Here is a 15,471-nt window from a genome sequence, read left to right on the forward strand (position 1 = left end):
TAGATTTAAATTTATGCATATTTTTCCCTCAGTGCTTGGTATACAATAATAGAATTGTTTACATAATTCCTGTGAGATAACTTTGATTTGTGATCATCGAAACAGCATTTTATCTGGTATGAGACTTTAGCCTTAGGTATTATTTCCCTACATAGGAACATATATTCTAGATTTGAACTAAAAGAACAATTGTTCTGTAGTGATTATCTTGTGCCACTCACACCCCACATTGTTCTATTCAATGCAAGCAAAAGAGTTCTGAATATTAAAAAGAAATCTCAATGCCAAGTGAAATATATTTTCGTATAACTGAAAGCACAAGTCTGGGATACAATATGTCGATATTTCTAAGCTGTCATAAGAGTGTATATTATTACACAGATATTATTATTGATGTTAACTATTTCTACATGACAAATTTGGTAGCCAGCCATCCAATCAAGACTATGGAGCATCTTTGATTTTGAACTTTGTAAAACCTATTTATAAACTCCATAGGAAACTAGATCCATTATTTTATACACCTGCAGCATGCCTAGAACAAAGCAGCATTACTATTTTCCTCATTGGGAATATTGAGACTTAAATATCATTTATTTTTTCCATCAAGATGGAAGGCAAGGTGTTATAGTAAACATGACATATTAATTTAATATTTTTTATCAAGAGGATTCAAATATTAGACTGGGAATTAGAATATGTGAGTTTTATTGCTCCCTTTTACTTGAAGAGGTAATTTATATGTTTTTTTAAACTAATTTGTAAGGGTTGGTTTCTAATTCTAATTCTATTTATAACTGTGTGGTCATGGAAGGGTGATCCAGATTTCCAATTCTATAATGTCAAATAATCCAGTTCTAAAAATATCTAAGATTTATAACCACACTTAATCTTTGTTGGTATTACTATGAAGGAAAGATTTTTTTTTTAAGAAAAGGTATTGACCAAGACTTTTGCATTACAGTTGTAAGTTATAGGAAAACAATTCAAAATAAATTATTATTAATTTATTTGAAATAAATAAATTATTAAAATTGGGAGAAGTTTCTTGGAAGGCAACAAAAGCATCTATCTTGAAGACATTTCATGACCAGATGAATCATAGTGCTAGGTGCAGGAGACAACATGATCAGTCAGTCTTGGGCATATGTCCACTCTTGTGCTTGCAGTCCAAGGGGAAGCAGAAAATAAGAGAGACAGATGCCAACAGTAAAACTAAAATTAGTTTCTAAAATGCTTTTGATCAACAACTGCATCACTGGTGTGAGTTATCTCCTCTTACAAGGGTAAACTGTGTGAACATTTGCAAATAGAAATACTTATGATATATTACAAATACATTAAGATTTTATATAGTATTTGTGAATTTATGTGTTTTTATAAGTCTAGATAATTGTCCAAATAAAAACTCACACATTCATTTGCTAGGGCTGCCATAACAAAATTCTAAAAATTGAGTGGCTTAAAACAACAGAAATTTATCTTGTGGTCCTGGTGGTAGAAGTCTGAAACCAAGATGTTGGTGTGGTTGGCTCTTTCTGAGGCCTGTGAGGAAAGGCTCTGTTCAAGGCCTTTCTCCTTAGCTTGTTATGGCTGCCTTCATACTCACATGTCATTCTCCCTATACACATTTCTGTGTCAAAATTTCCCTTTTTTTATAAGGACATCAATTATTTTGGATTAGGGTTCACTCAAATAATCTCATTTTAACATGATTACCTCCATAAAGACCTTATCTCCAAATAAAGTCATAATTTGAGGCACTGCAATTTAGTTCAACATATTAATTTGGGGGGGAACAATTCTACTCATAACAATTGGAATGAGACCATAGAACCACGGGCTTAATGGATTTGATCTATTCTAGTAGTAGCCTTTTTACTCCTGGTGCCATTTCTTCCATCACTGACATATAATGTCATTGTTGTTAGAAGAACGCCCCTGCCCACCCCCTCCCCCAACACACATATAGTGAGGATGTCCACATTGTCCACTACTCCAGTAGCTCCTCTACTAGTCAGGCAGGACTTACTCAGGTTATAGAAGGTGGGGCCAAAAAAAAAAGTCTTCCCCAAAGTGTCATGCTTGGTGGCCATATGGACAGTTAGCATTAGTGGCCATATGGACAGTTTGGTCTATCAAACTGATTGTCCCTGAGCAACTCATGCTGGTGCATATCCCTCCACAGTCGGTGGCAACTCTTATTTGGAAAATGTCCAGAGGTACCCTCCCTGTGGTTTCCAAAATCACTGTTGTTTTTTTTGGCATTATATGCTGAATGACTATTTCCATATCAGCCCCTCAAGACCAAAGTAATGAGAAACAGAGATTTTCAGCCTTTTCCACACATTTTTTTGGATACTTCTTTCTCCACGACCACGCAGCTCTGAAAGTCAGCCTGATTCACCTGCCCAGACTATTCCAAGTGAGTATCCCTTGGATGACCTTGATTTACTTTCTGCCAGCATTCTTCAGCCTGGTTGACTTCAAGCCGTGAGATCAGAGAGATTTTACTGAAACTGAGTCTCAAAAAGAGAAAGGTTGAACATAAATATATATACCTACAATATACCTGCAAAAACCAAGTATAAAACAAATTAAAGAAAGGTTGGAATCTAGGACCTGTATTTTTCTCTGAGGCTACTTGGTTTCTATGTAGATATTTTGACCCACTCATCAAAGATATGAAGTAAATAGACATTATCAATTAACCACCACCACTTACCAAATATAATATATTCCACACTTTTTTGCTAGAGTGCCAAGGACCATCTTTCCTTATATGACCTTAGCTAGATAGAAACAATCAAGAGATTTTTCCTAGAGCAATAAGATGAAAAGGCCCACTCCATCAAAATATAATTTAAAAAATATTTATAGAGATGGCTTTCATACAAGTATATATTGAACACATTTCAAAATGTATTTAATCCTCTGAGGTAGCCAGCAAGATGGTAAAGTAGGTTCAAAAAACATTCGTACAGATTTTTGCAATCAGCCAGAAAAGAAATGTATAAATACATTTGTCAAGTTAAAACACAAAACTGGCTAATATCCTACATGCCAATTATACTATAGCCTTTGGGGTTATCTTTTCTACTATACAAAAATAACCTTCATTTTTTCTAAAAAAAATTGCAAGTTCAGAATTTTTTTTAGTTTAATGAATTCACAATATTCATAGAATCTATGAGTAGGGTCCTAATCAATAGCACGAGAAATTTACTTATGAGTTAATTCACCTTAAAAACAAGATAACCTTTAATTATGTGTTTTATTTAGCAAACCATTTTCACATTACTTTTTTTAGTGGCTACATAACTTTGCATTTTTTAAATACTCTTGGAAAATTTGGATAGGTCTATTAGTGCTTGAGTGTGGCACAGAAAAACATAAAATCATCTTTTTGTGTTGTTTCCATATTTTAGATATTTTTTTTCTTAACTACTCTAAAGTTGTATAATGCCTGTCATAGCTTCATGAGAAAAATCAATCTTTAAAATTGTTTTCTCATAAAAAATTAAAATTGTTTCATCACCTGGCATTCAGCTATATGTTAACTATTACAAGCAATTAAGGTCTTACAATTTATTATCCACTTGTATGACCACCTTTACTTTTAGCAACATAGTGGACTACAAAAAAATAACAAATAAAAAGAGGAAAAGTGACATCGAGATGACACAGTAGAAGGCAATGTGCTCAAATTCCCCAACAACAAGAATTCTGTAGCCATCCACAGGTAAAAGTCTCTCTGTAGTAGCCTTGGTATTTAGGTAGGAGTTTTGTGAAACCCTGGTAAAGCACAGGACCCAGGAAGACTGTTTTGAGAATGCAGAACAGCAACCAGGTTGCGGATCCACTGATGATGTTCTCAGGTTCAAACCCAGAATCAGTTCCATTCCCCAAAGGCTTTGGCTACAGCACCATTTGGCCTTGAGCCTACAACTAAAACCATTTGCCAAGGGAGCCAAAAGGAATCACGAACACCAGTGTCTCAGCAAGAAAAGATAATTTTCCTGCTGACATTGATCTCTGCAATGGACCTGAAACTTGTCCTGTGGCTCAATTCCAGTCCAGCCCAGTTGAAGTTCCAGCTTAGAACTGCTCACACAAGGACCGCAGAGAGACTTGCCCATATGTTGCACACAGAATCTGAGCCTCCATAAGGGGCTTACCAGCCTTCATCCCATAGCAGATCTTGAGCAAGCCCAGTCTCACCTCTGGGACCTCTTGTTGCAATCAGAAAACTATCCCATCTGTGCAGGGACCCACAAGGATATGTGCATCCAGCAGAACTAATGAAACAGGCTCACCAGCCTCTGTCTCACATCATATCCTGAGGGGGCCCTATTTTGGCTCCAGCTCCTCGCACTATAGTCCATGAACTACTCTGCCTGTGCAGGATCCTGCTGGGAAACACATGCCTGCCTTACTCAGTGAGATGGGCTTGACAGCCACCATCCTACAGGAGGGCCAAAAAGCCCCTTTATCAGCTCCATTTTCTCCTGCTGCAGTCAGAGGCCTATCTTACCTGTGCCAAGACCTCCTGAGAGACACACACCCATCTGAACCAAGGAGATGTACTCCCAACCTCCATTTCACAACAGATCACCAGGAGGCCCAGCTCACCTCCAGCCACACATGCTGTAGTCAGGAACCTCTCCTGCCTGTTTAAGGTGCTGCTGAGATACATGCACCCATCTGAGCCAAAGAGAAAGGCTCACAGTTAGCCATCCCACAGCAGATCCCAAAGGGGCCCTGTCTCAGCTCTGACCCTTTGTGCTGCAGTTGGAGACCACTCTCACTGGTGGAGAGACATGCTAGGAGATACATACCTATCTGATCCAAGGAGATGAGTGTACCAGCCTCTACCCGACAGCAGATTCTGAATGGGCCCTCATTCAGTTCCAAGCCCTTTCACTGCAGCTAGTGAACTATCCCACTTCTGCAGGGAGCTTCAGTGAGATGTATGCCTGGCAGAGCCAATGAAACAAGTCACCAGCCTCTGTCTCATAGCAGATCCTGAGGGGGCCCAATCCCTGCTCCAACCTGTTTCACTGCCACTGAGGGACCATTCTGCCTCTAAAGAGTAGTGCTTGGGGGGTGTACCTGTGTGGGCCACTGGGAAAATCTCTGGCTCAAGTTTCTGGCCAGCTTTCCCACAAAGCTGAGGTACCCCCACCTTGAGTTTTCCCCAGATCCATTTGGGCCAGAAAAATCATGCTGACCACAGAGCCTTTGCAAGACTTGTGGCAAACCTGTGCTTAGAGCACCAGAGCACCCTCTAGGGTTTAGACGGCTGCAGTGGTGACAGGCTCTGGCAACACAACGAACTGGTTAAAACCTCTAGAAGGCCCAATGAGAAGAATGAGCACAGGCAAAACCAGATTTTGAAGTTTGGAATAAATACATAATCCCTCGAGGTGCATGCAATATCACACATCCACAAGAATCAACATTAAAAGAAGTATGATGTCACTAAAGCATCAAAACAAAGCACCAGAGACTGACCCTGAATTATTGAAGATGTGTGATCTCTTAGAAAATAAAATCGAAGTAGCTGTTTTAAGGAAACTCAATAAAATTCAAGAAAACACAAAGAAATAGTCCAGAAACTCATCAGAGAAATTCAGTAGAGATAATAATAAAAAATAGGATATTGGAGCTGAAAAAAGACAATGAGCAAAATGAAAAATACAATAGAAACAATCAACTGTAGAGTCAAAAAAAAAAACAGAAGAAAGAATCATTTAACTTGAACATAAGCTATTTGAAAATACATATATATTGTAATCAGACTCTCAAAGGTCAAAGACAAAGAGAGGATTCTGATAGATGTGAAAGAAAAGAGGCAAACATGTAAGAGTGTTCAAATACCCTTGGCAACAGACTTCTCAGCAGAAACCTTGCAGGCCAGGAGGGAGTGGGAACATATAGTTAGGGTGCTGAAACAAAGAAACAGAAAACACTGTCAGCCACTAGTACAGCACCGGGGAAAGCTGTCTTCAGAAATAAAGTAGCAATAAATACCTTCCACTCAAACAAACTAAAGGAATTTATTACTATCAGACCCGTCCTACAAGTAATGCAAAAAAAAAAAAAAAAAAAAAAGGGTTGGGGGAGTTCTCTAAACTGAAAAAAAGGATGCTATCATGTAATAAGAAAACCTGAAGGTATAAAAGTATACCTGAAGACATAAAAGCCATTGGTAAAATAAGATATATGGACAAAATATATTTACTTTAATACTTTACTACTGTAATCATTGTGTGTAAAGCATATCTTTAGTATAAAGACTAAATACAAAACTACTAAAGTATTTATATTAATTTGTTATGAAATAAATAATATAAGAAAATATAAAATGTAATACCAAAAATTTTAAAGGACAAAATGAAGTTCAATATGCATTTTTTTGTTATTTGCTTTTCTTTGCATTCAAAGTTAAGTTGTTATCAGTTTAAAATAACTTGCTATGATAATAGAATACTTTTTGTAAACCTGATGATAACCATAAAACAAACACCTATAAAAGACACTAAAAATAAAAAGGGAGGAATTGAAACATACCATGTGAGAAAAAAACACTTACGCACAAGGAAAGACAATAAGAGAGAAAGGAAGAAAGGGTTTACAAAAGTACTAGAAGACAAGCAACAAAATGGCTGTAGTGAGTTCTTACCCATCAGTAGTTACCTTGAATAGAAATAGATTAAATTCTCCAATTAGAGGGCACAGAACAGCTAAACTGATTTTTTAAAAATTATATGCTGTCTACAAAAAACTCACTTCATCTTTTAACACTCTGTTAAAAACATTGAGACTAAAAGTGAAGAGATGGAATAAGATATTCCATGCAAACAGAAACCAAAAGAAGGCAGAAGTAGCTATACTTATATCAGGTAAAATAGACTTTAAGTCAAAAACTGGAAAAAGAGACAAAGAAGGTCCTTATGTAATGATGAAGGGGACATTACAGGGAAAGGATTTAGCAATTATAAATATGTATGCAGTCCATATGAGAACACTTAAATATATACGGAAAATATTAATAGATCTAATGACAGAGTTAGACCACAATAAATAGGGGATTTTAACACCCCATTTTTAGCAATAGATCATTCAGAAAAAATGTCTACAAAGAAAGATTAGTGTTAAACTACATTCTAAACACAATAGAACTAATAGACATTTAAAGAACATTCCATCCAACAGCCTCAGAATGCACATTACTCTCAACAGCACATGGAACATTCTGCAGAATAGACCATGTTAGACCACAAAACAAGTCATAAGGAAGTTTAAAAAATCAAGTTGTATTAAGTACCCTCTCTGACCCCAGTGGACTAAAGTTAGAAATTAATAACAGGAGGAACTTTAGAATCTATACAATACATGGAAATAAACAACATGCTCTGCAATAACCAATAGCTCAATGAATAAATTAAGAAAATTAACAAAAATATTTTGAGACAAATAAAAAGGGAAACACAAAATAACGAAACCTATGGGATATAGCAAAATCTCTAAATGTATAAATGACTAAAAATGTACAATGATATGGTTTGTGTCCCCACCCGAATCTCATCTTCAATTCCCACATGTTGTGGGAGGGACCAAGTGCGAGGTAATTGAATCATGGGGGCAGGTCTTTCCTGTGCTGTTCTTGTGAAAGTGAGTAAGTCTCACAAGATCTGATGGTTGCTGTAACAGGGAGTTTTCCAGCACAAGCTCTCTTCGCCTTATCCACGTAAGATGTGACTTGCTCCTCCTTGCGTTCTGCCATGATTGTGAGGTTTCCCCAGCCACGTGGAACTGTGAGTTCTCCACTAAACCTCTTTCCTTTGCAAAGTGCCCAGTCTTTGGTGTGTCTTTATCAGCAGCATGAAAATGGACTAATACAATCAATGAAGCAACAAGTGTGTTGTTTGAAAAGATAAACAAAATAAATTTACCAGCCTTCTGCTAAACTAAGGAAAAAAGAGAGAAGACCCAAATAAATAAAATCAGGAATGACAAAGGAGTCATTATAAATTATACCATGGAAATATACAGAATCATGAGGGACTACTATGAATATATATCAACAAATTGGAAAACCTGAATGAAGAAGGCAAATTCCTGGACACAAACAACTTACTAAGATTGTTATGAGGAATTGAATACCTGAACAAACCAATAAAGAGTGCCAAGATTGAATCAGTATTAGAAAAGTCTCCAATCAAAGGAAAGCTCAAGACCTAATTAATGGTTTCCTGCTGCATTCCACCACACACCTAAAGAAGAACTAATACCAATTCTTCTCAAACTATTCCAAAAAACTGAAGGAGAGGGAATTATTCGAAATTAATTCTAAGAGCCTAGCATTGTCCTGATATCCAAACCAGAAAAGAACACAACACAAAAAGAAAACTATAGGCCAATATCACAATCCTCAACAAAATACCAGCAAACCAAATCTCACAGCATATCAAAAAGATTACTCCCCTCGTAAAGTGGGATTCATCCCAGGGATGCAAAGATGGTTCAACAAATGCAAGTTAATAACTGTAATACATCATATTTACAGAACGAAGGACAAAAATCATATGACTAATAGAAAAGGCATTTGATAACATTAAACATCCATTTTGTGATAAACGCTCTCAACAAATTATGTATAGAAGGAACATACCTCAGCATAATAAAGCACATATATGACAAATCCACAGCTAATATTATATAAGAACAGGGAAAAGTTGAAAGCTTTTCCTGTCAAATCTGAAACAAGAAAATGTTGCCTACTTTCACCACATTTATTTAACAGAATAATGGAAAGCCCAGCCAGACTGTTAAGCAAGAGAAATAAATAAAGGACATCCAAATTGGAAAGGAGGAAATCAAATTATCCCTGTTTGCAGATGACATAATTTTATATAGAGAAAAAGCTAAAGACTACACCAAAAAACTGTTAGAATGAGTAAACAAATTTAGTAATGCAGAAGGATATAAAACCAACATATAAATCTCAGTAGCTTTTCTGTATGCTAATAGTGAACAATCTGACAAAAAAATATAGCAATCCCATTACAATAGATATCAACAAAAATAAAACGTATATAAAAATTTAATCAAGGAAGGAAAAGATCTCTATGATGGAAAGCTACAAAGTATTGATGAAAGAAGTTTAGGACACAAATACATGAAAAAGATACCATGTTCATGAATTGGAAGAATTAATGTAGCTAAACTGTCCATAATTTCCAAAGCAATCTACAGTCACAAAACACCCAAGACATTCTTCACAGACACATAAAAAATCCTAAAATTTGTATGAAACAAAAATAACTGTGAATAGCATAAGCAATTTTGAGAAAAAGGAACAAATCTGTAAGCATCACATGATCTGACTTCAAAATATAGTACAAAGCTATAGTAACCAAAACAGCATGATACCAGCATAAAGAGAGCAGCATAGAGAACCCAGACAATCCAAGGATTTACAGCCAATTGATTTTTGACAAGAACAAGGATGGGAAAAGGACAGTCTCTCCAATAAACAGTGCTGAGGAAACTATATATCCACACACAGAAGGATGAAACTAGATACCTATTACTCTGTACTTACAAAAATCAACTCAGAAAGGAATAGACTTAAATGTAAGATCCTAAAGTATGAAACTCTTAAAAGAAAAAATATACAGAAAACATTTATTTTGTGATATTGGTCTAGGCAAGTTTTTTTGATAAAACCTCAAAAGCACAGGCAACAAAATAAAAACAGACAAATGGAATAATATCAAATTAAAAACCTCTGCACAGAAAAGGAAAAAAATAGAGTGAAGAAATAATCTACATTATCTACATAATGCGATAAAATATGCTCAAACTATAAATCTGAAAAGGGTTAATATCTAGAATATATAAGGAACTCAAACATTTAAATAGCAAAAAAATCAAATAATGACTTAAAAAAGGCCAAAACATATGGATAGACATTTCACAAAAGAAGACACGCAAATGGCCTACAAGTATATTAAAAAACGCTCAACATTAATACTAATTAGGGAAATCTAAATCAAAGCCACTATGAGATATAATCTCAGTCCAGTTAGAATGATTGTTATTAAAATGACAAAAAAAAAAATGACATGAATGTGGAGAAAGGGGAACTCTAGTATACTTTTGTGGGAATGTAAATTCATACAGCCATTATGAAAAATAGTATGGAGGTTTGCCCCCAAATTAAAAATGGAACTAACATTTGATCTTGCAATCCCACTACTGGGCGTATAGCCAAAAGAAATGAAATTGGTTTGTCAAAGAGATATCTGCTCATCTATACTCATTGCAACAGTATTAACAAGAGCCAAAATATGAAATCAACCCGTGTCCATAAATGAATGAAAGGATAAATAAAATATGGTATATTTACACAATGAAATACTATTTAGCCATAAAAATAATGAAATGCTGCCATTTGCAGCAACATGGATGAGCCTGGAAGACATTATGTTAAATGAAATAAACTAGGCACAGAAAAACAAATACCTCATTATCTCACTCATATGTGAAATCTAAAAAAGTAGAGAGTTGAATAATGGTGACCAGAGGCTGGAAAAGTAAAGGATATGGAAGGATAAGGAGAGGTTGGTTAATGGGTATAAAGTTACAGTTATGAAGGAGGAATAAGTTCTAGTGTTGCATTACACATTAGGGTGACTATAGTTAACAATAAAACATTATATATTTCAAAATAGCTACAAAAGGATTTTGAATGTTCTCACTAAAAAGAAATGATAAATGTCTGAGTTGATGTGTAATTAGCACATTTTTATGGGGTACAGTGTGATGTTTTAGTACATGTGTACATTGCACAGCATCAGCAATATGCAATGTATGCATGTATTAAAACATACTGTACCCCACAAAATGTACAAGTATTATGTGTAAATTTAAAATAAATACAATTTTTTTCAAGAGAAAAAACTTTATTTCTCCTAAAGTATGTGCTGAACACAAAAATATACCTATTTATCATGGTAGGAGTTTTATACAACAAGTTGGCAAGGTTGTTATTTAATGCCACCACTAATTCACTAAAGTATTAAGTAATTGGTCCTAATCACTAGACCTGTAGGTGATGGAACAGGACCATTAGCCCTGCTATCTAGGCTCCTAAGTCCACAATCTTTTCCCAATACCATCTCAAAAATACCTTCTTGACAATTCTCAGGGGAGTTTATTAGAAGAGTTAACTTTAATGAGGTAATTATCAGGAGTTTGGTCAAAAAGCTCTAATAGGATGAAAGTAAGTCTGTTTGAAATGACTAAAGGAGCATGAAAGAATGCCAACTATTCTCATTCCATGTAATGGAAAAGCATTGTCAGCTTCTTTTGTGTTTTAAACTGCACAATAGATATGACAAATTTGAAAAACAAAGGAAAGAAGGAGATGCCCTGAGGGTAAGAGTTAGAGTCATTGCAACTGGTTTGAACAGATGATTGAAATTAAAAAAAAAAAAAGCTGGGAAAAGAGTGTTAATGAAAGAAGTACAGCATAAAGATGCAGGATAAATCTGGAGTCCTTGATTATAATCATACTCTACCACCAAATCTGTACGGCCTTAGCAGATTAATGTGCTTCTGTAAGCTCCAATTCCTTATTGTGTAAGTTTAAATTGTTGAGCTAGATGGTCTCTAAGGCCCATTATAGCTTTAATGTACTATGAACTCCTTTAGGAGTCAATAATACAGGACTAACACGTTTAGGAGTCAATAATAGAGGACTAACAATAAATACACAGTAACATCATTTTCTTGCTTAAAAATTTTCAGTCAGTCTCTATTGTATAGCACTGTCATTTAGAATTTGCTTAATTTCTCTGAGTTGTAATTTTCTTCAATTTTGTGAATATTTAAGATGTTTATAAAAGTATATCACAATATTCAGGAAATGGTAAGCATTCAATAAACATTGTCTGTCACCATTTTTTGCCTTATATATCATACTGAAGAAACACAAACTGCTTATGGTTATCTTCTGTCCTATATATATATATATATTTTTTTTTTTTTAATTGTACTTTAAGTTTTAGGGTACATGTGCACAACGTGCAGGTTTGTTACATATGTATACATGTGCCATGTTGGTGTGCTGCACCCATTAACTTGTCATTTACATTAGGTGTATCTCCTAATGCTATCCCTACCCCCTCCCCCCACCCCACAACAGGCCCCGGTGTGTGATGTTCCCCTCCCTGTGTCCAAGTGTTCTCAATGTTCAGTTTCCACCTATGAGTGAGAACACGTGGTGTTTGGTTTTTTTGTCCTTGAGATAGTTTGCTGAGAATGATGGTTTCCAGCTTCATCCATGTCCCTACAAAGGACATGAACTCACCGTTTTATATGGCTGCATAGTATTCCATGGTGTATATGTGCAACATTTTCTTAATCCAGTCTATCATTGTTGGACATTTGGGTTGGTTCCAAGTCTTTGCTATTGTGAGTAGTGCCACAATAAACATATGTGTGCATGTGTCTTTATAGCAGCATGATTTATATTCCTTTGGGTATATACTAAGTAATGGGATGGCTGGGTCAAATGGTATTTCTAGTTCTAGATCCCTGAATAATTGCCACACTGTCTTCCACAATGGTTGAACTAGTTTACAGTCCCACCAACAGTGTAAAAGTGTTCCTATTTCTCCACATCCTCTCCAGCACCTGTTGTTTCCTGACTTTTTAATGATCACCATTCTAACCGGTGTGAGATGGTATCTCATTGTGGTTTTGATTTGCATTTCTCTGATGGCCAGTGATGGTGAGCATTTCTTCATGTGTCTTTTGGCTGCATAAATGTCTTCTTTTGAGAAGTGTCTGTTCATGTCCTTTGCCCAGTTTTTGATGCGGTTGTTTTTTTCTTGTAAATTTGTTTGAGTTCTTTGTAGATTCTGGATATTAGCCCTTTGTCAGATGAGTAGATTGCAAAAATTTTCTCCCATTCTGTAGGTTGCCTGTTCACTCTGATGGTAGTTTCTTTTGCTGTGCAGAAGCTCTTTAGTTTAATTAGATCCCATTTGCCAATTTTGGCTTTTGTTGCCATTGCTTTTGGTGTTTTAGACATGAAGTCCTTGCCCATGCCTATGTCCTGAATGGTATTGCCTAGGTTTTCTTCTAGGGTTTTTATGGTTTTAGGTCTAACATGTAAGTCTTTAATCCATCTTGAATTAATTTTTGTATAAGGTGTAAGGAAGGGATGCAGTTTCAGCTTTCTACATATGGCTAGCCAGTTTTCCCAGCACCATTTGTTAAATAGGGAATCCTTTCCCCATTTCTTGTTTTTGTCAGGTTTGTCAAAGATCAGATAGTTGTAGATGTGTGGTATCATTTCTGAGGGCTCTGTTCTGTTCCATTGGTCTATATCTCTGTTTTGGTACCAGTACCATGTTGTTTTGGTTACTGTAGCCTTTTAGTATAGTTTGAAGTCAGGTAGCATGATGCCTCCAGCTTTGTTCTTTTTCTTAGGATTGACTTGGTAATGTGGGCTCTTTTTTGTTTCCATATGAAGTTTAAAGTAGTTTTTTCCAATTCTTTGAAGAAAGAACATTCCATGCTCATGGATAGGAAGAATCAATATTGTGAAAATGGCCATACTGCCCAAGGTAATTTATAGATTCAGTGCCATCCCCATCAAGCTACCAATGACTTTCTTCTGTTCCTCCTTATGCTTTCATGAAATAAAGGGCATAGAAAATATATAAAATACATATATAAAAGTAAGAATAAAGCTTTCATTAAATAAAAGGCATAGAAAATATATTAAAATGACCCTTCAAAGGTCCAAAGTGATCCTGGGTCTTTATTTCTCACTCTTGACAAGTTAACATAAAATTTCTTACATTGGTTTTCCTCTTTAGTCTAAAAATTTGGCCCATGAAGTTGTGTTGCGATGCCTGTTATTGTAAATATTTATGTGGCATTAAATAAAATCTTCGTAGCGAATACACGTTATTTAATGACACCATTTGCATGGAAAAATCAACAACTCTTACAGTAATAATCTCTTTACACAAATTTTACATATATTCTTGAGTTCACTGACACTTTAATTATCAAGTGGCATGTCTAGTCCCAAAGTAGAGAGTACGCATAATCAGTCAATTCACTTCATGTGTTGTCACTAATCTTAATACTGTACTCCACAACTTCAAAATCTGTCCTCTATCATTGTGGAGAGCAAGATAAAAGGTTTAATATACTTATCATTTAACATTTTGACTATTTTATTTTCTGGTGAATTTAAAACTTAAGGCAAATTTTTTGAAGAAGGAATTTTCATTTATTTTAACAGAGATATCGATATCAGCATTTAGATATCTTTGACTTTTTCCTGTAAGAATAATCAATTAGCTTGATTTTACCTTTCATGGTCCATTTAATTTCACATTGAAAGATTTCTTTTCTTGCCCCCCTACTACGCTGCTCCTTGTGGTGATTATGTCAAACAAGCATCTATTTTTCTATTTCTGGACACCATAAGACTACAAAGTTATTTATTTGGTTGATTGTTTGATGCTCCATCCCCCTTCAAGCCCCACCAAAACGATACGATGTAGCTTATGAGATTATTTAGGTGTAGTGGATCTAGCCTTGGAAACAGCATTTTTTCCCCATAGAACTAAATTTCAAGAGGAATTTAATACATGGTCCATTTGAAATGAACAACAAAATAGAAAATACAGACATACCTTGGAGATACTGCAGGTTTGGTTCCAGACAACCACAATAAAGAAAAGGTCATATGAAAGTAAGTCACACACATTTTCTGGTTTTTCAGTGCATATACATTTATCTTTATATGATACTGTAGTCTATTAAGTGTTCAAGTCTTTAAAAAGTACATACGTTCATTAAAAATACTTCATAGCTAAAAATGCTAGTGATTATCTGGGCCTTTAGTGAGTCATAATTTTTTGCTGGTGAGAAGTTTTGCCTCAATATTGATGGCTGCTGACTAATCATGGCAGTAGTTGCTGAAGGCTGGGGTAGCTGTGGTAATTTCTTAAAATAAGACAAGGAACTTTGCCACATTGATTGAGTCTTCCTTTAACAAAAGAGTTCTCTGTAGCATGTGGTGCTGATTGATAGCATTTTACCCACAATAGAACATCCTTCAAAATTGGAGTCAATTCTCTCAAACCCTGTCCCTGCTTTACTGACTAAGTTTATGTAATTCTCTAAATCCTTAGTTCTCATTTCAACAGTTTTCACAGTATCTTCACTGGGACTGAATTCCATCTCAAGAAACCACTTTTTTTGCTCATTCACAAGAAGCAACTCCTTATTCATTCAAGTTTTATCATGACATTGTAGCAATTTTGTAACATCTTTAGACTCCATTTTTAATTCTAGTTTTCTTCCTATTTCCATAACACATGCAGTTATTTCTTTTATTGAAGTCTTGAATCCCTCAAAGTCATCTATAAG

The 15,471-nt window shown here is 35.4% G+C and overlaps 1 annotated feature.

Annotated features, from left to right (window-relative positions):
- Positions 10,961-11,704: an enhancer, noted in NCBI's record as "OCT4-NANOG hESC enhancer chr11:49526542-49527285 (GRCh37/hg19 assembly coordinates)". NCBI's record gives its function as "activates a minimal SCP1, AML or CMV promoter by ChIP-STARR-seq in naive H9 embryonic stem cells {active_cell/tissue: H9 hESC(naive)}" and the evidence as "EXISTENCE:reporter gene assay evidence [ECO:0000049][PMID:30033119]".

The sequence above is a fragment of the Homo sapiens genome, chromosome 11, assembly GCF_000001405.40.
Source record: "Homo sapiens chromosome 11, GRCh38.p14 Primary Assembly".
Taxonomy (NCBI): domain Eukaryota; kingdom Metazoa; phylum Chordata; class Mammalia; order Primates; family Hominidae; genus Homo; species Homo sapiens.